The 27,081-nt window shown below is 40.6% G+C and overlaps 1 pseudogene; it reads left to right on the forward strand.

Moving 5' to 3' along the window:
• On the forward strand, window positions 276-3,907 carry CBX1P3 (chromobox 1 pseudogene 3; annotated as a pseudogene).

A 27,081-nucleotide genomic window follows, 5' to 3' on the forward strand; every position in this document is an offset into this window, starting at 1 on the left:
TAAGAAGAAAAATTTTAAACTTAAAATCAGCCAAAGGAAAAAAGAGATCTTATGTACAGAATGTAAAAAATAGCAAAAGATTTTTGCTGCAAGTAATGCAAGCCTAGAAGACAGTGAAGCAATATACTTAAAGTACTAGAAGACAATTGTCAATCTAGAATTCTATTCCCAGAGAAAAATTTTCAAAAACATAGGACACAAGTTTTTCAGCATGCAAAAGCTGGAAGAATTTAACCAGCACACTTGAACAATAAGAATGTTGAAAGAGGGCAGGAGGCGGGCAGTGCAGAGTGCGAGGTTGTTTTGTTCGGCTGACGGGAGGGCCCTTGGCCAGGACCTGCAGTAGGCCACTTCAGGGAGGGGCTCCACTGTGGCCACCCAGCTTGCTGCTTTCCTGGGTGCCACTCCCTCTGCCGACCCAATGCAATGGGCCAGTAGCATGGCACTGATTCCTCTTGGACTCTTGGGCACTGCTCTGAGTAGTGTCACCCTTTACACCAGAAAGCTAGCAGGCACTATGAGGAAAAAACAAAACAAGAAGAAAGTGGAGGAGGCTCTAGAAGTGGAGGAAGAGAAATATGTGGTGGAAAAAGTTCTTGACTGTGGAGGGGTAAAGGGCAAAGTGGAGTAGCTCCTAAAGTGGAAGGGGTTCTCAATGAGGACCACACATGGGAACCAGAAGAGAACCTGGATTGCCCTGACCTCATTGCTGAGTTTCTGCAGTCATAGAAAACAACACATGAGACAGATAAATCAGAGGGAGGCAAGCGCAAAGCTGATGATTTGAAGATAAGGTGTTGCGGGAATTAAAGGGACAGGAGAGACCAATGGGTGGCTCAGGAGGATTTATGTAGGTGCTCCGGCTCAGCAGATTAACCTCCAAAGGTTGAGCCCCAAACAAAGACAGGGCTTGACTTTTATACATGCAACCAAAAGGGGTTGGCCAGCTAGTGGTGCAAAACCTGCAGGGTGGCAAGCAAGCTTACAGAAGCAGAACAAAGGCAGTTTATCAAACAGAGACAGGTGTTGCAACTCAGGCACGTCTTGTGACCTTTACCATACTGCACAGATGGGAAAACAGGAACTTACAAAATCCTTACCAACTTGCAGAAATAGTTACAAAGATAGTTAGGAGAGCAGAACAAAGAATAATGGTATGGGGAGATAATTTTAAAAAGGGGAAACTGATAAGAACTTGTTTTTCTCATCCCTGCTCCTGGAGCCCATTCCTTCTGGGCCCCGGCTCTGCTGATAGCACTATGAGAGCCCTCACAGAGCCTTGCTTATTGCTGGGCCTTGGAGTGAGTCAGCCTGTACAGAAAACTTGTTTTCTTCTCTCTCTCTCTCTTTTTTTTTTTTTTTTTTTTTTTTTTACATCTCCTGCTTCATAGGGAGAGGAGGGCAAACCAAAGAAGAAGAAAGAAGAGTCAGAAAAGCCATGAGGCTTTGCTGGGGGTTTGGCGCCAGAGCAGATTATTGGAGCTACATACTCCAGTGGAGAGCTCATGATCCCGATGACATGGAAAAACTCTGATGAGGCTGACCTGTTTCCTGGCAAGGAAGCCAGCATCAAGTGCCCACAGGTTGTCATATCTTTCTATGAGGAAAGGCATTCCTACCCCAAGAAGGAGGATGAGAAAAAAGATGACAAGAATTGACTCTCCTGAGTACCAGCCCCTGTCACATCTGAATGTGGGTTTCCAGTGGGAAGGGAAGGAGTTCTACTTGTCTTGACAGCATAGAGGTGGCTTGAGAAGATGTCCTTTGAAGAGCCAGTATAGTTTCTGTGCCCTGCAGCAGCCCAAGTGCTTTAAAGCCATTCCAAGCTCTAGAATTTGCACACCCATCCCAGTGGAGGGGAAGGGGGATAAGTGTTTCAAGGCAACCTTTTCTTCATTTTGCTGAGAAAAGCAAAGGGCCTTCTATGAAGGACAAAACTTGCAGAGTTGGGTGTGTGGGAGAGCAAACAAAAATACTGTAGATCTTCAAAGAGCATCTCCACAACACACAGCCTACCTCCCAATAGTGTCAACTGCATTTTTACAGCATAGCATGTGTGTAGTTTTTGGCTATTACTGGTGTATTATTTGGGGAGGGAGGGATGGAGAGAGGAGGAAGGGAGATGGGTAGCATCATTTTGATTAAAATTTGGGGCTTGATAGGGGAAATGGTGAAGCAATGGAAAGAACAGACAACTAATGATTTCCTTCTATGTCTAGAATATTTTACCTTTGAAAGAAATGTCATTAGCATCATAAATAAGGACTATAATTAAAAGCTGTGAATGCCTAGGCCCAGGGCGGGTCACCAGGCAGGGGGCTGGAGCGTGACCCGCAGCCTGCAGGACCTCATGCCACCCGAAGGGCTGAGCCTGACCCCATGAGGGTGTCCTGTCCCCTGACAGGGCCAGTGCAGTTTGGTGTGTTCCTCCGCCTCACCAGAAGACCCTGAAGAATTATTTTTCATTATTGATTTTCCAATCATTTGACTAATAGTCTCTATTTAAATAAAGTTTTTAAAATGAAAAAAAAAGCCATGAATGTCTGAAACCTATATAAGCCAAGGTGTTCCCTGCCTAAACCTAATGCTGTTCCCCACAAAGGATAAGCTAGTTGATAAGTTACCAAAGTTGCCATTTTAGAGATGGAAATTGACTGAGGAGGGAAGGTCTTTTATTGGAGAGTATATAGTATGAGCAGATCATTCTGTCTCAGAGGGGTTAATTCCTGAAATTAGACAGAAGACCCTTTTCTTTCCAATAATGAAGTTATAAATATCAGCTTGTTGAAGCCACTGGCTGAGGTATTGGGGAAGGGGAAGAGGGTGGTAGAGGAGATAAGACAGTAGGGAAAGACAAGAGCCCATACTCTTAGTGGGGAGAACTCTTGGAGCAGTTCTCTTTTTGGATCTTTGAACTCTGAAACCGTTGGCGGCAGCGTTCAGTCACTGACAGCACAAGTTCCACTGAATTGATTCGAGTTGAGTGATTTCAAAAGCCTTGGTCTCAGGAGATTTAACTTTCCTACTGGGCAGTGGTTCACTTTAAAACACAAAAAAACAAATAAAACCTTTTTTTTTGTTTTGTTTTAGATGGAGTCTTGCTCTGTTGCCAGGCTGGAGTGCAGTGGCATGATCTTGGCTCACTGCAACCTCTGCCTCCTGGGTTCAAGCAATTCTCCTGCCTCAGCCTCCTGAGTAGCTGGGACTACAGGTGCCCGCCACCACGCCTGGCTAATTTTTGTGTTTTTAGTAGAGATGAGGTTTCACCATTGTTGGCCAGGATGGTCTCGATCTCTTGACCTCGTGACCTGCCCGCTTCAGCCTCCCAAAGTGCTGGGATTACAGGCGTGAGCCACCGCACCCAGCCAACAAAACCATTTTTTTTTTTTTTTTTTTTTTTTTTTTTAAGACGGAGTCTCGCTCTGTCGCCCAGGCTGGAGTGCAGTGGCACAATCTTGGCTCACTGCAAGCTCCGCCTCCGGGGTTCACGCCATTCTCCTGCCTCAGCCTCCCAAGTAGCTGGGACTACAGGCGCCCGCTACCACGCCCGGCTAATTTTTTGTATTTTTAGTAGAGATGGGGTTTCACCGTGTTAGCCAGGATGGTCTCGATCTCCTGACCTCGTGATCCGCCCGCCTCGGCCTCCCAAAGTGCTGGGATTACAGGCGTGAGCCACTGCGCCCGGCCAACAAAACCATTTTTTAAGAAATCCTAAGAAGTAACTGATACCTAAAATGCTCTGTCTTGAGTCATGAGATCCATCAGTTCTTGATATTGCCTAGACTTGCATCTAGAACTACATTGTAAAATCTTTTTAGGCATGTGTTAGATTTCTGTGAAAACTTTTTTTAAATGTAAACTTCATACCACGCTGTCAGTTTTTGTCTTAATAAAACTATAGGTTTATTAAAAGAAAAAAAAAAGAATGTGAAAGAGCCCAGGCATGGTGGCTCCCACCTGTAATCTCAGAGTTTTGGGAGGCTGAGGTGGGTGGGTCGCTTGGGCCCTGGAATTCAAGACCAGCCTGGGCAACATGGTGAAACCTCGTCTCTACATAAAATACAAAAATTATCCAGGCAAGGCATGGTGTTGCACACGTGTAGTTCCAGCTACTTTGGAGGCTGAGGTAGGAGGATCATCCGAGCCCAGGAAGGTCAAGGCTGGAGTGAGCCATGATCACATCACTGCACTCCAGCCTGGGTGACAGAGTGAGACCCTGTCTCAAAAAAAAAAAAAAAAAAAAAAAAAAAAAAAAGAATTTGAAAAAAGTCACCAGGTAGAAGCAATATATTGTGGGACAAAAATCTGAATCTGGCTGGGTGTGGTGGCTCATGCCTGTAATCCCAGCACTTTGGGAGGCTAAGGCGGGTGGATTCACAAGTTCGAATCCGAGCTGGCCAACATGGTGAAACCCCATCTCTACTAAAAATACAACAATTAGCTGGGCATGGTGGTGCACACCTGTAATCCCAGCTACTGGGGAGGCTGAGGCAGGGGAATTGCCTGAACCCGGGAGGTGGAGGTTGCGGTGAGCTGAGATCACACCACTGCACTCCAGCCTGGGTAAGAGTGCAAGACTCTGTCTCAAAAAAAAAAAAGAAAAATCTGAATCTACCCCCAAAACATGAAGAGCACTGGAAATGGTAAATATGTGGGCAAATATAAAATAATTTTAAAACTTATTTTTACAATTTTTAAAAAAGGTGGGGCCAGGCATGGTGGCTCACGCCTGTAATCCCAGCACTTTGGGATGCCGAGGGCAAATCATGCGGTCAGGAGTTCGAGACCAGCCAGCCTGGCCAACATGGTGAAACCCTGTCTCTACTAAAAATACAAAAATTAGCTGGGTATGGTGGTGCATGCCTGTAATCATAGCTACAAGAGAGGCTGAGGCAGGAGAATCACTTGAATCCAGGAGGAAGTTGCAGTGAGCCAAGATGGTGCAACTGTACTCTAGCCTGGGTGACAGAGCAAGACTCAGTATCCAAAAAAAAAAAAGGTAACTGAGTATGAAATTAAAAATAACAAACTGAAATGTGGATCTTATAACATGTACAGACATTATATGACAGCAATAGGGCAAAAGCCAAGAGAGGAGAAATAGAAAAGTACACTGCCATGTGTTCTTATACTATTTGTGAAATAGTATAATTTTACTTCAGAGTAGACAATGGTAAGTAGAAGGTGTATACTAAAGACCATAAAGCAGCCACTAAAAACAAAACAAAAAAACAAGGAGAAAACTCAAAGTAGTATAGCTTATAAGGCAATGAAAAGGATAAAATGGAAGCATAAAAAACAATCTAAAAGAAGACAAAAAAAAGAGAGACAGAGAGAGAACAAAGAATAGATAGAACAAATGGAAAGAAAATAGAGCGAGTAGCTTTACATTTTACAATATTAATAAACACTTTCAAATTAAATCTTCTAAAAAACAAAATTAAGTCAGCTGGGTGTGGTGGCTCACGCCTGTAATCCCAGCACTTTGGGAGGCCGAGGCAGGTGGATCACCTGAGGTTGGGAGTTCAAGGCCAGCCTGACCAACATGGAGAAACACTGTCTCTGCTAAAAATACAAAATTAGCCAGGCGTGGTGGTGCATGCCTGTAATCCCAGCTACTCAGGACTGAGGCAGGAGAATCGCTTGAAGCCAGGAGGCGGAGGTTGCAGTGAGCCGAGATCACACTATTGCACTCCAGTCTGGGCAACAAGAGCAAAACTCCATCTTGAAAAAATAATAATAATAATAAAATAAATAAATAAGTCAAATTAAATCCTCTAAACATCCTGATTAAAAAGCAGAGTTTATCAAATTGGATTAAAAAGGATGATCCAATTACATACTGTCTACTTTCAAGAAACTCTATTTATTTATTCATTTATTTTAATAACATCAACAGGGAAGAAGGAAACTCATTTTAAAATAAAGACACAATCAACCCTGTGTGAAAACTTGAAAAAATAAAATAAAGGCACAAATAGAATAAAAGTAGAAGAATATAAAATAATACAACATAGTAACAAAAAACAAATGAAAGCTGGAGATCTTTCCAACTTTCAGAATGGTAGACTAAGGACTTCCAAAAATTTGCTACTCTATAAAAGCAATAAGATCTTCAAAACCCATCAGAATTAATTTTTTTAATTTTTTAGACTCTAGAAATTAAACAGAAGTTTGCAGCAATGTGAGCAGTGTTTAGTCAAGAAAAATGACTGAATCTTGGTAAGAACTATGAGATTTGGTTTTTAAGCTTTTCCTAATTCTAACTCCTCTTCAAAGTAGCATTAAAAACCAATAGCCACACTATTACAATAGCTATGAAAAGCAGCAGACTAGCATCTACTGGAGGGGGAAGAATGGACTTGGAGCTCCAGGAAAGCCTCAATCCCAGAGGACTGTCATTATTTGACTTGTCTGGCAGCTCAATGAAAAGTTCCATTCTCAGAGCTTGTCTTTATTGGTCTAAATATTGGTCACAGCTCAGTCTCTCTGCATAGTCCTATCCATGTGACATTTATTGAAAACAATCATTGGCAGTTGTTTAACATCAAAGCTGCCAGAGGTGTTGTTAACAGTTGGGGATAAAAAGATGCTGATGAAAAACTTAAAAGGAAAAAAAAACTGAAGAATAAGATGTCCATTGGGAGATTTGGAAAGCTCTGATACAGTCCTAGGAATCTATAAGGCCATGCACATGATGTGTGCATGCCCAGAAAAGACCTGAGAAGACCCCAATGTCTTACCTCTGGCCAACCTTAAGGCTTTTCCTAAGCAAGAAATGAAGGCTAAAGAGAGATGTAAACTGCTTGAGAGAGAATCGAAACTATACCCCAATACCGAGTGAATCAACAAAATTTGGAAGACTTATTTATTCAAGATAGTTTAGGAAATCTGTGTTCAATCATTAACTGGCCATTAAGCTAATTGAACAGAGACTTTACATTACAAAGAATACAGACTTTACAGAATTAGTCCAGGAAAGTCACTAAACAAAATAATAGCAACAACTAGCAACAATAACAAACCCTGCTCCAGAGATCTATTATACAACATGGTGACTGAGGTTAATAACAATGCACTGTATTCTTGAAAATTGCTGAGAATATGCTATAAGTGTACTTACCACAAAAAAAAATCAGTATGTGAGGTAATGCCTATGTGAATGAGCTCTCAATTTAGCCATTCCACAGTGTATACATATTTCAAAACATTTTATACACAATAAATATATATGTCAACTTTTAAAAAATTAATTAATTAAAAAAGGAACAAATAGAAGTTCTGAAGTTGAAAAGTAAAATAACTGAAATGAAAAATCACTGGATAGACTTAACAGCAGATTTCAGCAGAATATGAAAGAATCCAAGAACTTAGCCAGGCACAGTGGCACACACCTCTAGTCCAAACTACCTGGTAGGCTTTAGCAGGAGGATCACTTGAGCCAAGGAGTTTCAGTCCAGCCTGGGCCCCTTAGCAAGACTCTATTGCTCTAAAACAAACAAACAAACAAACAAAAATAAGCCAAACAAAGGATCTGAGAACTTGAAAACAGAATAATTGAGGAGATTACTCATTCTGAGGAACTGAAGGAAAAAGAAAAAAACAAGGGCCTCAGAGATATATGGAAAACCATAAAGTGTGTCAACATACACATAATGGAAGTCTCAGAAGGAAAGACAGAAAAAATGGTCAGAAAGAATATTCAAACGAATAATGGCCAAAACCCTTTCAAATTTGAAAGAAACAAAACAACAACAAACAAAAGTCAGCACATCCAAGAAAATAAACTCCCAGTAGGATAAACTCAAAGGGATCCACACCTTGACATGTCATATAAAAACTTTTAAAAGAGACTGAGAATGTTGTCTCACACCTATAATCTCAGCACATTGGGAGAGCAAGGCAAAAGGATCACTTGAGGCCAGTAGTTTGAAACCAGCCTGGTCAACATAGCAAGACCCCCAACTCTACAAAAAATAAAAATATAAATAAATTAGCTGAGTATGGTGACATATGCCAGTAGTGCTAGCTACTTGGGAGGCTTAGGCATAAGGATCAATTCCAGACTAGAGTGAGTTATGATAGTGCCACTGTACTCCAGCCTGAGCAACAGAGCAAAACCCTATCTTTATTTAAACAAACAAACAAACAAACAAACAAACTGAAATTACCAAAAGACGAAGAGAGTCTTGAAAACAGCAAGAGAAAAGCAACTCATTACATACAAGAGTTCTTAAGTAAAATTAACAGCTGATTTCTCATCAGAAGCCCTGGAAGCCAAGGCCGGGCACAGTGGCTCACACCTTTAATCCCAGAACTTTGGGAGGCCAAGGCAGGTGGATCACCTGAGGTCGGGAGTTTGAGACCAGCCTGACCAACATGGAGAAACCCCATCTTTACTAAAAATACAAAATTAGCGGGGTGTGGTGGCACATGCCTGTAATCCTAGCTACTCGGGAGACTGAGGCAGGAGAATCGCTTGAACCTGGGAGGCGGAGGTTGCAGTGAGCTGAGATTGCGCCATTGCACTCCAGCCAGGACAATAAGTGAAACTCCATCTCAGAAAAAAGAAAAAAGAAACCCTGAAAGCCAGAAAGTCCTGGGATAACATATTCATTGCTAAAAGAAAGACTGTCAATCAAGAGTTCTATATTCAGCAAAACTATCCTGCAAAAATAAAGGAGAAATTAAGATATTTTCAGTTAAAGAAAAACTGAGAGATTTCATCGCCAAATATCTGCCCTATAAGAAATACTAAAGTTCCCTTTAGGCAAAATGGCAGACATATTCTACCTCGTCAGTAATTACACTGAATGTAAACTGACTAAATATTCCAATGAAGGCCGGGCACAGTGGTTCACACCTGTAATCCCAGAACTTTGGGAAGCTGAGGTGAGTGGATCAGCTGAGGTCAGGGGTTCGAAACCAGCCTGGCCAACATGGTGACACCACGTCTCTACTAAAAATACAAAACTAGCTGGGTGTGGTGGCACATTCCTGTAATCCCAGCTACTTGGGAATCTGAGGCAGGAGAATCACCTGAACCTGGGAGGCAGAGGTTGCAGTGAGCTGAAATTGCACCATTGCACTCCAGCCTGGGCAACAAGAACAACACTCCATCTCAAAAAAAAAAAAAAAAAAAAATTTCACTGAAGAGGAAGATATTGGTGGAAGGGATAAAGGAAGATGTGATCCAACTATATACGGTCTACAAAAGACATACTTTAGTTATCCTTTTTTTGCTGTTATTTCTTTTATAAGAGACATACTTTAGATTGAAAAACACACAGAGTTTAAAAGTAAAAGGAGAGAAAAAGATATACCATGCAACAGTAACTAAAAGATAGCTGGAGTGGCTATGCTAATATCAGACAAAATAGATTTCAAGACAAAAAATTGTTACTGAAGACAAAGAAGGACATTTTAGAGTGATAAGTGTCAATTAATCAGAAACACATGTCAATTATAAACATATATACACTTAACAATTGAGCCTCGAAATACACAAAGCAAAAATTGACATAATTGAATCAAGATATAGACAATTCAAAATAATAGTTGGAGACTTCAATATCCCATTTTCAATAATAGATAGTACAACAAAGCAGAAGATCAGTAAGAAAATAGGAGAACAGCACTATAAACCAAGTAGACTCAACAGACATCTATGGAACATTTCACTGAACAAAAGCAGCATGCATGTTGTGTCAAGAGCACATGAGACATACTTCAGGATAGAATACGTATTAGGCCTAAAACCAGCCTCTTTGAGAGAACACAGTGCACCAAGGAGACTATTATTATGACTATTGGGAGGATAATACCAAGAGTTTGAAGTATGCTCCTCACCCAAGGTCCCCATAAACCAAACTTCTTAAAATCAAATAGATCAAAGAATGATCTATTTGATGATGAGTCTACTCGCTTAACTAAGTGGTCTTTTCATGAATCCTTTAAAACTGAATTTATATAATCTACATTTGATGTATTTCTCCATAGGCCACAGGTGCCAGCAGCTGCACATCTACTTTTCTGTTTAGCCAATTCTATAATTTAACATAACTTTCACAAGAGAATTTAAAGTCTGTTGTGTAACTGTAGCCTTTACAATAGAATCTGCTAGAGAGCCTATCATGAGGGACACATTTCTAACCATTGCCTCTTTTATTCCAAACCATGGAAAAAGGGCCTAACAATTGATGCACTTCTAGAAGAGTGCCTCCTGGCAATTTCTCTTTAACCCATGATGTGGGATAAGAGGAGTAAATCAATGTTCTATTTCTGACTGATTATGAGGCAAGGTATGTACCATTAAAGTTTCTCACCGATATTGGGCCTTCATCTTTTATCTATCAAAGTATAAGTTTATCCATGTGTACGGCTGGCTGCAAAATCCTTCACAAATAAAAGTATACACCGTAAGTGCATGCAACAGACCCCTTTTTCATTTCTGTTGTTCATAGAGGCATAAACAAGGAAAAAAATATTCAAAGATAAGAGTCTCATGACAGTAGAAGTCTTGATCCATGATCTTAGGAAGAACTGTTCACATCAAAGATGCCATTTTCTTCTGGGGAGACACTTCCTTGGTTAGCTTTACCTTAAGGGTTCCAATGAGTGTACAGTTCCAAGAGTGTGGAGGGATCCTTCTCAGTTGTGAGATTATGAACCCAAGGTTCAGGATCCCCAAGTTTCATTGCAGTGTGGATGGCAAGGACAGTCCTTCTCTGATGCTCTCAGAAGAGCCAATCTTCGGGTTCTAGATTGTGAAGGGGCTGATTGTCCTCAGTGAACCAAAAAAAGCTTTTTTTAACCTGGTGAAAATACACTGTAGCATAATAATCTACTGTTATAACATCAGCCCTCTTGCATGGGAGAGCATTTATACAACTAGAAAACATGTATTAAAAATGATAATTGAATGGGCTGGGTGCAGTGGCTCACGCCTGTAATCCCAGCACTTTGGGAGGCCGAGGCGGGCGGATCATGAGGTCAGGAGATCGAGACCATCCTGGCTAACACGGGGAAACCCCGTCTCTACTAAAAAAATACAATACAAACAAAAAAGATAATTGAATGAAATCCCTTTATAAAATGTATAAATGGCCCATCCGGTAACCAAATATACATGAACCTTGATTGTTTTCCCAGGAATTTGGGTTTGACAAACCAAACATTAGTTATAAATGATTTTAGCAATTTATAAATTACCACACCAGTATATTTAATTTGGATTATTTTATCTTTTGCATGATGAGTCATGGAATGCAGAATACCAGTTATTTCTCCAAATTAGGTGCTAAGCACTAACTGATGGGTTATCATAGGTAATTTGACTTAGACCATGGATTTTATTCAAATTGTACATCTAAACAATTTCATTGTCAGCTTATTTAACACTAAAATTTGGCAAAGTATTTTCTAGGTATTCAGTTAATTTCTGTTCTACTTGGGTTAGCAGTTTTATAAACCAGTCAGTCTTTTCAGTCAGTTCCAGGAATTCTTACCCAGTTCAAATGATATAATTCTAAAGTTACTAGAAACCTGGATTCAAGAGTGCTTTTTAGGGTCCTTTCCATCCCTTCATGAATCTCCTAAAACACACCATATTCTAGGATTTTGCATGCTTGTGAAGTTTTCAGAAACTGCATCAGCATTAAGCAATAAACTGTGAAAATAAATTTAAGTAGTTATAGTTAAAGGCACAATAGACAATGAAATTTTGTTATTTCTGTGGTCTACAATAACTTAACATCATAACCATAATTATGATTGATAGCATATATTCAGACATATTAGAATTTTATAAATCCCATACGATTTTGGAACATAAATTAATGTAATTCACTAAAATATAACCTGAAGAAGGTTAAACATTATTTTTTATTTTGACAGTGCTTCCTATGTAACTTAAAATGTCAAATAGTCCTGTTACCTCTCTTTTGGATGTTTCAGGGGCCTTCTGTTGCATCCCAAAGTTAGAAGTCAGAAAAGGCAATTTTGAAGCTGAAATTTAATTTTGGGAAGGCTATCAAATATGTTAAAGGTTTAAAACACCTTGTGCTTAACCAGTTTGACGATGAGGTGAGATTCTTATAAATCTTTTGTAGCCCTTTACAATTTTTGTGAAAGAGGAGATCAGTGCTTTAAGAAAAGCCAGTTGTGCTTTTATTTTGATGTCAATTTACAGAAAAACTGAACAATACCCCTTTAAATTTAGTCAACATTTTCACACACAGAATTTTTTTTACAAGATTAATTTTTACAAACCTTCCACAACTTACTCAAACTTTTAGCTTTATCTTACCTAATTTAAAAATCCTTTAACCCTCTAAACTAGGCAAAAATTTACATTCCTGGGCCAGACGTGGTGGCTCACGCCTGTAATCCTAGCACTTTGGGAGGCTGAGGTGGCCAGATTGCCTGAATTCAGGACTTTGAGACCAGCCTGGCCGACATGGTAAAACACTGTCTCTACTAAAAATACAAAAAATTAGCTGAGTGTGGTGGCACGTGCCTATAGTCCCAGCTACTCGGGAGCCTGAGGCAGGGGAATTGCTTGAACCCAGGAGACAGAGGTTGCAGTGAGCCGAGATCATGCTGCTGCACTCCAGCCTGGATGATGGAGCAAGACTCTGTCTCAAAAAAAAAAAAAAAATTTACATTACCATGCCTTCTTATAGTCTTTTACCAAAAACACATTTCACTCTCCTCACACACCTTACACGTACAGTTATTTTTTTATTAATTTCAATTACATGTTATAATGGTAATTCTTAGCAACTTTTACTTTTGGTGTATAAATTTCCTTTCACAACTTACACAGACTATCTACAACATGCTTGGACTTTCTGACTTGTCCTAAAAATCCTTTTTTTTTTTTTTTTAAATGGAGTCTTGCTCTGTCGCCCAGGCTGGAGTGCAGTGGCGCGATCTCAGCTCACTGCAAGCTCCACCTCCTGGGTTCATGCCATATTCCCACCTCAGCATTCCGAGTAGCTAGGACTACAGGTGCCCACCACCATGCCTGGCTAATTTTGTTTTTGTATTTTTAATAGAGACGAGGTTTCACCATGTTAGCCAGGATGGTCTCAATCTCTTGACCTCATGATCCACCCGTCTCAGCCTCCCAAACTGCTGGGATTACAGGCATGAGCCACCTTGCCCAGCCAACATCTTTCTTTTTAAACAACCAGTTATTTTACTTTAGGACAAGATTTTACCATACAAGATTCTTTTTTTTTTTTTGAGGTGGAGTTTCACTCTTGTTGCCCAAGCTGGAGTGCAATGGCATGATCTTGGCTCACTGCAACCTCTTCGTCCCGGGTTCAAGTGATTCTCCTGCCTCAGCCTCCTGAGTAGCTGGGATTACAGGCGCATGCCACCACGCTTGGCTCAGTTTTTCTATTTTTAGTAGAAACGGGGTTTTACCATGTTAACCAGGCTGGTCTCAAACTCCTGACATCAGGTGATCTGCCCACCTCAGCCTCCCAAAGTGCTGGGATTGCAGGTGTGAGCCACTTCACCCAGCCACAAGATTTTTTCTTTTCTTTTTTTTTTCTTAGAGATGGAGTCTCGCTCTGTTGCCAGGCTGGAGTGCAGTGGCGCAGTCTCGGCTCACTGCAACCTCCACCTCCTGGGTTCAAGCGATTCTCCTGCCTCAGCCTCCCAAGTAGCTGGGATTACAGGCACGTGCCACCACACCGGCTAATTTTTATATTTTTAGTAGAGATGGGGTTTCACCATGTTTGCTAGGCTGGTCTTGAACTCCTGACCTCATGATCTGCCCGCCTCAGCCTCCCAAAGTGCTGGGATTACAGGCGTGAGCCACTACGCCCAGCCACAAAATTCTTTCTTATATAAAATACATTTTCTTTATAACTTTCTTTGCATAGCTAGGGGGCATGGCTAATTCCACATGCCCCAGGACTTATCTAGAATCTAATGTCTCCAAGCTAGGCAAATTGAACAATTTTGAAAAGTCAAAGCAGTTTATGACCTTAAAACATTTAGCAAACCTAGTATCTAACCTCCCTAATTTAGACCAAATGTCTTTATTTTTGCCAATAATCTTTAAAACTTTTTATTTCCCAAAGATTACTAAAGTTACATGAACTAAAAGGCATTATAGTTTTTATTTTTCTTTCAAAATATTTGATTTAAGTGCTTATTTTTCTTAAAGCCAATTAATTAGAGCTCTTTTATATAAACATTACACACACAACAAATATATAACTACACAGACAGACAGAAGAAGATCCAGTAGTTGCAGTAGTTGTAAGATTTTTCATTTACCAGTTTCTAAGTTTCTTTTTTTTTTGGATGAAGTCTAGCTCTGTCACCCAGGCTGGAGTACAGTGGTGCAAACTCGGCTCACTGCACCCTCTGCCTCCTGGGTTCAAGTGATTCTCCTGCCTCAGCCTCCTGAGTAGCTGGGATTACAGTTGCATACCACCATGTCTCGCTAATTTTTGTATATTTAGTAGAGACGGGGTTTCACCATGTTGGTCATGCTGGTCTTGAACTCCTGACCTCAGGTGATCCATACACTTCGGCCTCCCAAAGTGCTGGGATTACAGGCGTGAGCCACCACACCTGGCACCAGTTTCTAAGTTTCTTAATTGGATTACTGGCTTTACAGTGGAGTCCTTGGAAGAACAGGGCCAGGAAAGCATACAGTTTCTAGGGCCTAATATAAAAAGCAGGCACAGCCAGAAAGCAAAACATCTCCAATAATTAAGTCCCATTGTTATACCAGATCCTGGATCCCCTCCAAAAAAGAGGGCGTCAACCCATCCCCATGGGAGTCTTATTTCTCAGTCGGGGGTGGAGACATCTCCATACTTCTGTGTGGCCAAGAGCATGCTTCTCTGGTCCAAATGTGCAGAGCTGAGTATTTCCCCATAACTGTAACTAGACATCCCTAAAAGTATATTGCCTACTTAGTTATTACACAACAAAGCTCTCTCATAATGTGAAATAATAATTTCTGATACTCCCAAAGTAAAAAATGTCAGATAATGCAATGCAAAACAGAACACAGCCTTAGATTTTGAAAAGCATCTATCCACTTCCAATTCTGAAATCCCAGGAATTGGAAGCAGAGGAAAACAGAGGTTTTTCCCAAAACAGAATCTCTTGTATCTATTGTTTTTCCCAAGGAGTCCCAGGCTGTTAGAGCTTGAATATCCACTTTTAATTAAGCTGACTTTAAAAGTCCTTTTAAATTTCTTATTACCTGACTTTAGCCAGAACAAATGGCTGATATTTCTGGCTCTTAAACTTTACCAAAAGTAACCTCACAGGTGCTCTGATAAAGGAAAATTCAAGACAGTTTGTGGAGGGGAAGAGAATCAAAAAATGGCAAACGTTACCCAAATATCAACCAGAAAGTACTCATTCCCTAAGCTGGGAATTGAACCTGGGCCACAATTTTAAAATGGTGGAGACCAAAAGAAAGTACTGCCACGTAGTTACAAGGTCAAGCACCAAGGACATACTAGACAAGATAGAGACTTCATCCAGTTTTTTTTTTCAAGGACCTGCAGCAAAGTTTATTGCTGACCAGTTTTGCTGGGCCCTCCTGATGGGGTCCTAAGCCCGCATTCTATCCTAAGGTACCCCTCGTTATGACACAACAATATGGAAAGACACAAAAAGCACAATACAGCTTACGATTAGCCTCATGAATCATTTTTTCAATTAATCAAAACTTTACAGAGGAGATAAACAATGATTTTTACCATTCATTCAGCCAGTCTGCACAGAGAGAGAGAGGAAGAGAGGGGCCAGAAGCCTGACTAGTAAGAAATTCTTACCCTTTGGCCTGCATGCCAGGCTTCTGGGTTCCCTTTCCCTTCGTGGCCCTAGTGACCAAGATCTCCACACCATAGCCCTAGGGGCCAAGCCACATCATAAAGGAAAATCATATTTTTCTGTTTCAAGGAACCACAGGCAAAAGCCTCTGAATTTTGCAAGATGCCGCTCAACCGGTTGCATGGAGGCACCAAATATCAAACTGGCAAGGCTCAAACTTGACCCTGATTGGGCCCTGTCATCTTTAACCCATTTTAACCAAGAGGGACTTTACTGAGGGGAGGGTCTCTAACCCAATCCCATCCTTTACTCAGGTAAATGTACTCCATTACTTATCCAAAGTCAGCCTATTGGTGCTTCAGCAGTCTATTTCCTTTGGATCAGGATGGTAACTACGCTAAAAGGTTATCAGATTTAATATTTGAGAGTCTTTGTTTTAAAATGCACTTCAATGCATTGTTGTTCATTCAGAACATTCCATTGTACGTTGTCTTTAGTAAGATCTTGCCATTTCTGTAAGACTTTGCTGCTTTCTGTGCCTAATGCATAAGCCAGAAGGAACTCAGTTTTCCAGAAATTAAGGATCCCATTTTTACCTAAAATATTGGTTTTACTCTCCAGTTCCCTTGATTAACTTAGCCAATGGGTTTTTTCCTACTGCAAGAAAAATGAAACAAAGGGGTAGAACACAAAAATCCCCACAAATTTTTAAAAGCCAAATTTTACATCCCCTGCAATGTTACCATTTATTACCGGTTTCTTTCTGACCCAGTCAGATATAAGAGGCCTCTAACGGATCCAAGCCAGTTAATTATCAGATCAAATCCGTTCCTGGACTCAGTCCAGTTTCTGTTGCAACTTCCAAACCCAGTTTGGATCAGAAATTTGCTCAAAGAAATTCAGAGAGCTCAAAACACAAATCTGTGGAGCTCCAAAATTGAGATAACTTACTTATGATCCCTAGCTGCTCCAAGAGATCAATGTAGACAAGTGGGTCATGCAGGTACCTTGCTTGTTCACTCAGGACTCCTGGGTGTCGTGAGAAGCTCCACTTCAGACCCCACTTTTGACACCATCTGTTAAAAGAAAAACTTCAGCTGAATTAAATTTAAAGGAGTTTAACTGAGCAATGAATTATTTGCAAATTGGGCAGCCCCCAGAATCACAGAAGATTCAGAGACTCTTGGGTTGCCTTGTGGTCAGAATAAATTTATAGACGAAAAAGGGAAGTGATGTACAGAAATTGGGAGAGAAGTACAGAAACAACTGGATTGGTTACAGGTTGGCTTTTGCTTTATTTGAACACAGTTTGAACACTCAGCAGTCTATGAGTGGTTGAAGTATAGCTACTGGGATTTGCCAATGCTCAGCTATTGTTACAGGTGCATACTCCTAAATTAGGGTTTCAATCTTGTCTACCTATTAAGTTAGGTTATAGTTCGTCCACAAATACTCAAATATAGAAGTCTGGAGTCCTTCTCAGGCCACATAGTTTCCTTTAACAATATATACTATTACATAATACATAATATGTATAAAAAATATATAAAATGTATATTTTATATATAAATAAATATATTATATATAAATAAAAAATATATATAGGGTTTATTTTGTTCTCTCTTTTTGTTCTCTCTATAGAGAGAGAACAAAACAACACAAAAGATAGTGTGATATGGGCATGAGTACAGAAATATAAATCAATGAAATAGAATTGAGAGTCCCAAAATAAACCCATATATCTATCACCAACTGGTTTTTAATAAGAGTCCCAAAATTATTCATTAGGAATGAAAGAATATTTTCTTCAATAAATGGTATGGGAAAAGTTGAATAGCCACATGCAAAAAATGAATTTGAACCCCAACCTCACATCATATACAAAAATTAACTCAAAAAGGCTCATAGACTTAAATTTAAGAACTAAAACTATAAAACTCTTAGAAGAAAACATATGTGTAAATATTCTTGACTTTGGATTAGACAATAGGTTTTTGGAGATGACACCAAAAGTACAAGAGACAAAGAAAGAATAGATGAATTAAAATTCATCATACTAGAAACTTTTCAACCAGGCGTGATGGCTCACACCTGTAATCCCAACACTTTGGGGGGCCGAGGTAGGCAGATTACCTGATGTCAGGAGTTCAAGACCAGCCTGGTTAACATGGTGAAACCCCGTCTCTACTAAAAATAAAAAAAATTAGCCAGGCCTGGTGGCATGCACGTGTAATCCCAGCTACTTGGGAGAGTGAGGCAGGAGAATCACTTGAGCCCGGGAGGTGGAGGTTGTAGTGAGCTGAGATCATGCCACTGCACTCCAGCCTGGGCAACAGAGTGAGCCTCCATCTCAAAAAAAAAAAAAAAAAAAAAAGAAACTTTTGTGTTTTGAAGAATACCATCAAGCAAGTGAAAAAGCCAGGGGCTAAAGCCTGTAATCCCAGCACTTTGGGAGGCTGCGGTGGGAATACTACTTGATCCGAGGAGTTCAAGACCAGCCTGGGTAACGTAGGGAAACCCTCATCTCCACCAAAAAAAAAAAAAAAATTAGCCAGACATAGTGGCATGCATCTGTGTTCCCAGCTACTTAGGAGGCTGAGGTGGGAGGATTGCTTGAGACCAGGAAGTTGAAGCTGCTATGAGCTGTGATAACACCACTGCACTTCAGCCTGGGTGACAGAGTGAGACCTGTCTCAAGAAAGAAATAACAATGAATTATTAGAGAAAAGAAAGAGAAAAAAATAACTCCTGGAATGTGAGGAAGTATTTTCAAGTCATACATCAGTAAGAGGAGTTATATCCAGAATATTTGAAAAACGCTTACAACTCCATAATAAAAAGAGAAATAAGGTGAGTGTGGTGGCTTGGACCTGTAATCCCCACACTTTGGGAGGCCAAGACAGGCAGATCACTTGAGCTCGTGAGTTCAAGACCAGTCTGGACAACAAGGTGACTTTCCATCTCTATGAAAAATACAAAACTTGGCCAGGCATGGTAGTGTGTGCCTGTGGTCTCAGCTACTTGGGAGGCTGAGGTGGGAGGATACCTTGAGCCTGGGAGGTGGAGGTTGCAGTCACCAAGATGGCACCATAGCACTCCAGCCTGGTCAACAGAGCCAGACATTATCTAAAAAACAAAGAAAAATAAAAAAGACAAATAAGCCAATTTAAAAATGGTCAAAGGATTTGAACAGACATTTTTTCAAAGGAGATACACAAATTGTTGATGGGCTCATGAAAAGGTGCTCAATGTCACTCTGTGTCAATAGGGAAATATAAAGCAAAACCAGAAAGAGATACAATACCACTACACACCCACTAGAATAGCTATAAAGAAAAAGAATAATAGTAACAAGTATTGGTGAGGCTGTGGGTAATTGGAGCTCTTTTAAATTGTTATTAGGAATGTAAAATGGTGCAGTTATTCTGGAAAACAGCTGGACAATCCCTCAAAAAGTTAACCATAGAGTTACCATATGACACAGCAATTCCACTCCTAGGTATATACTCAAGGTATGTACCAAGAAAATTGAAAACACGCATCACACAAACAATTAAACATGAATGTTCATAGCATCATTATTTATAATCACCAAAAACTGCAAGTAACCCAAATGTCTATCAACAGATAAATGGCATATTCAGAAAATGGAACATTATTCGGCCATAAAAAGAAAAGAAGTTCGGATACATACTATTACATAGATGAACCTTGAATACATTATGCTAGCTAACTGAAAGAAGCTAGACACAAAAGATCACATATTATATGATCCTTTGTATATGAAATGTCCAGAAGGGCCAATTCATAAAGAGAAAAGGTAGATTAGTGGTAGCCAGGCTTTTAGTTAGGGAAAGTGGGGAGTAGCAGCTGATGTGGTTTCTTTTTAAGTTGATTGAAATGTTATGGATGACAATGCAGTGGCTCATGCCTGTAATCCCAGTATGTTGGGAAACCAAGGCAGGAGGATCACTTGAGGCCAGGAGTTTGAGACCAGCCTAGTCAACACAGCAAGATCCTGTCTCTACTCCATTCATATATATATGTTCATATATATGTTCGGGAATTATCACAAATTTATGTGATGGATGTGAACTCTGTGAATATACTAAAAGTCACTAAATTATACACTTCAAAGAGAGGTATGTGTGAATTTTATTTCAGTAACACTGTTACAAAAAAGGAAAAGTAAGCTCGAGTATCTATGTTAATATCCAACAAAACATATTTCAGATAAAACAATATGACTAGGGATAAAGAGGATCATTTCATGATAAAGATGCCAATTTATCAAAAGGGCATAATAATGTTAAATATTTATGTACCCGATAGCAGAGCATACATTAAGAAAATACTGATATAACTAAAATTAGACAAATCCACAATTATAGCTGAAGATTGTAATGCCTGTCTCTCAATGATTGATGTAACAAATAAACAGAAAATAGGTAAGGATGTAAAAGATGTAGCCTAAGCTATCAACCAATTTTACTTAATTGGCATTTCTAGAACACTTTATAGAACCACAAAATTGTTTAGTAAAAAATTTGGCCTTTCCCAAAGAGAGGTCTGGCCTTTGCTCTCAGCTTCTGGCAGGTAATCTGTGTCATACCAGATAGAAATGTCTTTGTTTAAAGCAGGGGCTGGCCACATCATATCTTGGGGTGGGGCTGGCCATAGCTAACAGTCTGAGAGTAGGGGCTTTGGCTGACCTGGTAGAAGCCAACCTGGAGACTGAATTCAACCATATGGGCAATCAATCATGTCTTTATGATGAGGCCCCAATAAAAACTCCGGACACCAAAGCTCAGGTGAGCATTCCTGGATGGTAATATTTCTTGTGTATTTTCACAAACCAATGATGAGTCCTGATTCCACAGAGAAAGGAAAACAGGAACTGCATGTTGGATACTTATCCTAGACTCTGTTTAACATGCTTGTATCATGCCTGATTTTAATCTGTACCTTTTCCCAATAATCACAGCTATAGCCATGAGTATATTTTTGGTGGGTTATCTGAGTTCTAGCAAGTTATCGAAACTTAGAGTGGTTTTGGGAACACCCTGAGCTTTCAGCTGGTGTCAGAGGTGAGGGCAGTCTTGAAGACTGTGACCTCTAACTTTATAGTTGACCCAAACCCTTGCAAGAATATTCTTTTTTATTTATTTACTTTGTAAAGGTAGGCTCCCAGTATGTTGCTCATGCTGGTCTTGAATACCTGGTCTCAAGTGACCCCCTTCCTCAGCCTCCCAAAGTGCTGGAATACAGGTGTGAGCCACTGTGTCCAGCCTTATTTTCTATTTTATTCATTTATTTTTGAAACTTCTTTTTTTTTTTTTTGAGACAATGTCTCGCTCCGTCACCCAGGTGGAGTGCAGTGGCATGATCTCAGCTCACTGCAACATTCATCTCCCAGGTTCAAGCGATTCTCCTGCCTCAGCCTCCTGAGTAGCTGGGATTACAGGCGTGCACCACTTGTATTTTTAGTAGAGATGGGGTTTCACCATATTGGTCAGACTTGTCTTGAATTCCTGACCTCATGATCTGCCTGTCTCGGCCTCCCAAAGTGCTGGGATTACAGGCGTGAGCCACCATGCCCAGCCTGAAAATTCTTTTTTAGCACACGTGGAACCGTATACCACAGACCATATTTTGGGACATAAAACAAGTCTTAATACATTTAAAATAAATCAAATTATATTAAGTGTGTTACTTTACTTCAGTGGAATTAAATTAGAAATCAAGATCAGAGTAAGGCAAAGAATCCTCCTAAACTCATGCATGACAGTCATGAAGTTCACCTTCCTCTGGAAGGGAAAGAAAGGTGGTGGGGTTTAGGGTATTGCAGTACTGGAAATATATGCATGTTAGAGTAGAAGGATTCCATAGGAGGTTGGTCTAGAAGCACAAAAATGTCGGGTGGCTTTTAGTTGAGTATAAGGCTTGAACAGCATGAGGGACCATGAGGTTAAGTGGAAATCCTAAGACTAAAGCATCAAAGGCTTCAGTTAACTTTGCAGCTGCTGTGACTACACACAAACAAAAAGGGTAGGCTTTTGCTACAGGGTCAAGTGAGAGGCCAAAATAAGCTACTGGACTATGATGTCCATTGAGCTTTTGATTTAGAAGCCTGCAAGATTCGTACTGATCTTTCATGTATACATAGAAAGGTTTATAGTAATTGGGAAATTCAAGGATAGGAATGTTTTGAAGGGAGTCCTTTAAGTTATAGAAAATAGTCTCAAGTGAACCCGTCCAGGGCAAGGGCTCAGGTATTTCTGCTGTTATCAGAACATTTAAAGGGACGCAAATTCTGAAAATTAGGAATGCAATGTCTACGGTTTTCTATGAGGCTGAGAAATCCTTGATGTTGTCTTTTAATAACTGGATGGGGGCAAGTCCCTAAAGTTTTTCAACAAAGAGGCTTTCCATCTCGTGTGATGTCATGGCCTAGATAATGGATGTGATAAACTTGGGAGTTTATTCTTAGAGACATTGTGTGCCTTGTATGTAAACACTCTCTGCAAATGGAGAAAATCAATTTTGGAAGCCTCTTCATCTGGAGAGCATAACAGAGGGTCATCATATTTTATAAGAATAGATTCCTAGGAGAATTGGATGTCTCCAAGGTTATTGTTGAGTTCTTGGGCGAAATAAGAGGATGCTTCTGTAAGCCCTTGGGCATCACTGTCTATATGTATTGTTGGTTTTTCCAAATAAATACTATGAGTATGTTTGCAAGGACATTCTAAAGCATGTAAGGAATAGGCCAATGACTATAAAGTAAGTAGCTGTTTCAGGGATTGAGGGTAGGATGGAATTGGCATTGGCAATTACAGGGAAGCAAGAAAGCAAATTATTAATAACCCTATCTCTTGTATGATGTGGCTGCTAAACCTATAGGCTTTTTTTTTTTTTTTTTAGATGAAGTCTTGCTCTGTTGCCCAGGCTGGAGTGCAGTGGCATGATCTTGGCTCACTGCAAGCTCCACCTCCCGGGTTCACGCCATTCTCCTGCCTCAGCCTCCCGAGTAGCTGGGACTACAGGTGCCCTCCACAGCGCCCGGCTAATTTTTTGTATTTTTAGTAGAGACTGGGTTTCACTGTGTTAGCCAGGATGGTCTCGATCTCCTGACCTCGAGATCTGCCTGCCTCGGCCTCCCAAAGTGTTGGGATTACAGGCATGAGCCACCACGCCCAGCCTATAGGCCTTTTTGATAGGCAGAATGCAGTTAATACAAGGGCTGGTGCAAGGAATAATTTGGGGTTTTTTTGGTTGTTTTTTTTTTTTTTTTTCTGGCAGCATACAGGATAAGACAGCCTAAAGGGCTTCTACATCCTCCTTTTTGTAGCAGTTTTGGGAGGTCATAACTAGATCAGTTGAGATCTTTAAGGATCTAGCCTTTGTTGTGTGTCCCACATCTGAATTGTCTTTGGCCCAGAGTTTATCACAGCTAGGTCCAAGGTTTGAGGTGTTTATAGGGGAGGCATCAGGCAGTGATTAATCAGTCTCTGCCATCATCAAACTATTGACCAAATTATGGTACTCCACTTATAACAAATTCACTGGAGTGAAGTTACTAAGCAGAAAAGTATATTGACTAGTGAGAAAGCCCAAACAGACAGGAAACAGCTGAGACAAAGGCAGAGACTGAGGTGTATTTGAGATTTCTACCACTGAAAACTTTTTGTTACTCCAAGGAAGAGAATGACAGAATGGTGGTATGGTTTACGGTAGAAAGTAAGCATTCTGTTTTTGCAATTGCGTGCAAATTTCTCCCTTTTGTGTTAAGGGCAGTTGTGGACAGACCAGAGCAGCTACTCCTGCAGAGCTGTCATTTGGCAACCAAACTTTGCTCTTTGTCTTTTCAGATCCTATCTTTTGAGCTAAGGTAGAGCAACTGTTCTTTCAGTGTCCCTTTTCCTTATACTATGAACAGGTGTCTTTGTCTAGACTAGACATAGAGGTGTCCTTGTTCTAGTTATTTCTAGTTGCCTAATCTAAAAAGTTTATTTATAAATTTTTTCTAAGTCAAAATATCACAGTATTCTGAAAGATCTTGTAATTTAGAGAAGGGGACATACTATCTTCTATTTTTAAACTAAACCTGCCACCTTGGTTTAGGACCATCCAGAAAAAATTAAATAAGACAGCTGTGATATCTTTGCCCTTGTCAAGACTAGAGAGCTCCTGGAAAGTGGTAGTTAAGTGATCTCTGAAATTAGGATAACTTTATTCTTTCTCTGTTTACAAATTTGATTTTTTTTTTTTTTTTGAGATGGAGTCTTGCTTTGTCACCCAGGCTGGAGTGCAGTGGCATGATCTTGGCCCACTGCAACCTCCACCTCCTGGGTTCAAGTGATTCTCCTGCCTCAGCCTCCTGAGTAGCTGGCATTACAGGCACCCACCATCATGCCTGGCTAATTTTTCTATTTTTACAGATTTTTTGTATTTTACAGATTTGACTTTTTGATCTTTTTTTTTTTTTTCTACAGGAAAGACTTCATGGAAAGCTGCTAAGAGATCTTGTCTCATATATATAATATATATATATATAGAGAGAGAGAGACAGGATCTCTTTAAAAAATCCTGTGCAATTGGCATCACAATGTATGTACGTATGTGTAAGAGGCTGGACCATGATCTGGAATTTCACTGAATGACTGGTGATTGCCCATACCCAAATAATGAGAACATGCAAGAGACAATAGTTGGTCCAGAAAATCTCAGCACTATACCCCACCATGCCTGTAAGAGTTCTGAATGGTGCAAGATAATCAAATCAATAGGCTTATACCAAGGACAATTAAAAAAAAGAATAGAATAGAGGCTTAGACGATGCTTATGAGGAGGGAGGGGCCGGGCGTGGTGGCTCATGCCTATAATCGCAACACTTTGGGAGGCTGAGGCAGGAGGATTGCTTGAAGCTATGATCTCAAGACCAGCCTGGGCAACATAGCAAGACCTCATCTCTACAAAAAAGATTAGCCAGGCATGGTGGTGCATGTCTTTAGTCCCAGCCACTTGGGAGGCTGGGGCAGGATGATGGCTTGAGCCCAGGAGACTGAGCCTGCAGTGAGCCATGATCATGCCACTGCACTCCAGCCTGGGGAACAGAAGACTCTATCTGGAAAAAAAAAAAAAAAGAGAGAGAGAGAAAGGAGGGGTGCATTTACCCAGAGCAGGACTTACTCAGCTCTGGAGTCACCAGTACTCTTAGGAGAGAAAACAGCAAAGTTTCTACCGAATTTTATCCATATTTGAGCAGAAGAGGGTCCAGGATTCAGGTCACAGCATCAGAAACCGTGGGAGAAAATGAGCCACCGCACCACGAAGCCCAAGCGTCCATTCAGAATGCTGCAGCCTGAGAACTGTTCTGAAGGGATGCTTTGCCTTGAGGAAGAAAGTGGAGATTGTATAGAGCTTTAGCCTAAGAAGGTCAAGTTGAAGTTCAACTAGTCTTGAGAATAGTTGGTCAAAAATGCTTCTTGGAAAAATGGTTTTTTTTTTTCAGTTTTTGGCTATTCATTGGGCAGTACAGCCAAAGAATACCAATATTTATAAGTAGCAGGCTACTGAGTGTGGTCTGAGGAATAGGACAGGTATAGCCTCTCAGAAAGTAGAATTTGTGACAAATGAATTATTATTTATTTTGAGATGGAGGCTCCCTCCCCCAAATGATTCTCCTGCCTCAGCGTGCTAAGTAGCTGGGATTACAGGCTCCTGCAACCATGCCCTGCTAATTTTTGTATTTTTAGTAGAAATGGGGTTTCACCATGTTGGCCAGGCTGGTCTCGAACTCCTGACTTTGTGATCTGCCCACCTTGGCCTCCCAAAGTGTTGGCATTACAGGCGTGAGCCACTGCACCTGGTGGACAACTGAATTATTTACCAAGGAAATTCAAACTCATGCTCTGATTAAGGAAACAAATACTAATACCATTGAGATTTGTAGGTGTTGTTATTATTATTATTATTATTATTATTATTATTATTATTATGAGATGGAGTCTCTCTCTGTCACCCAGGCTGGAGCGCAATGGCACTATCTTGGCTCACTGTAACCCCCACCTCCTGGGTTCAAACTATTCTCATGACTTAGCCTCCTGAGTAGCTGGAATTACAGGCACCTGCCATCACACTCAACTAATTTTTGTATTTTTAGTAGAGACGGGGTTTCACCATGTTGGCCAGGCTGGTCTTGAATTCCTGACCTCCAGTGATCCACCCACTTTGGCTTCCCAAAGTGCAGGGATTACAGGTGTGACCCACCACTCCTGGCCATGTAGGTGTTATATTTTTACCTCAGTATCTGTTCCTGCCCAGCAGGACCTGGGTACCTCATTTGCTAACAAAGTGTTGGAGCCGTACTGGAAGTTTCCTTTATTCCCCCTTTCTAAGAGGAAATCTTTATTTTAGCTACACTGATTTTCCCCATTTTTGTAAAGTAGGGCTATTTTTTTTCTTTTTCTTTTTTCTGAGATGGAGCCTTACTCTATCACTCAGGCTGGAGTGTAACAGCGCAATCTTGGCTCACTGCAACCTCTGCCTCCCAGGTTCAAGTGATTCTCCTGCCTCAGCCTCCTGAGTAGCTGGGATTACAGGTGCCCACCATCATGTCCGGCTAATTTTTGTATTTTTAGTAGAGACAGGGGTTTCTTCATGTTGGTCAGGCTGGTCTCTAACTCCCGACCTCAAGTGATCGGCCCACCTCGGCCTCCCAAAGTGCTGGGATTACAGGTGTGAGCCACTGCGCCCAGCCATAAAGTAGGGCTATTGCAAGTGGTTAACTCAATCACTTAGTCCATGTGGAGTTAAGAGTGCTAGGGCTGGAATCCTGGCTGTGCTAACTCTAACTGTGTGACCCACCTTATGGTTATGCTTGACCCGTAGTTGAAATTTTAGAATTGGAGCCCTAAGAGTTCTTTCTCAGCCTGTCTCTATGTTCATGTGTCCATAACTCATGAAAGTCTTTATGCTCATTGTATGAATGTGTAGTATTATCCTACCTCCAGATGGTGTTAATAATTTAGATTACAAAGCCTCTTGGAAGAATTCTATTTTGATTGGCTTAGAGATAAATAAGCACTTATATAAGTGAAGTGTTCCTAAAATTCCCAGAAATTAAGGAAATCTAACCTCTATTTTTTTTTTTTTTCTGACACAGGGTCTCACCCTGTCACCTAGGCTGGAGTGCAGTGGCACTATGATGGCTCACTGCAGCTTAGACCTCCTGGGCTCAAGTAATCCTCTTGCTTCAGCCTC

Source organism: Homo sapiens, chromosome 1 (assembly GCF_000001405.40).
Source record: "Homo sapiens chromosome 1, GRCh38.p14 Primary Assembly".
NCBI classification, from domain to species: Eukaryota; Metazoa; Chordata; class Mammalia; order Primates; family Hominidae; genus Homo; species Homo sapiens.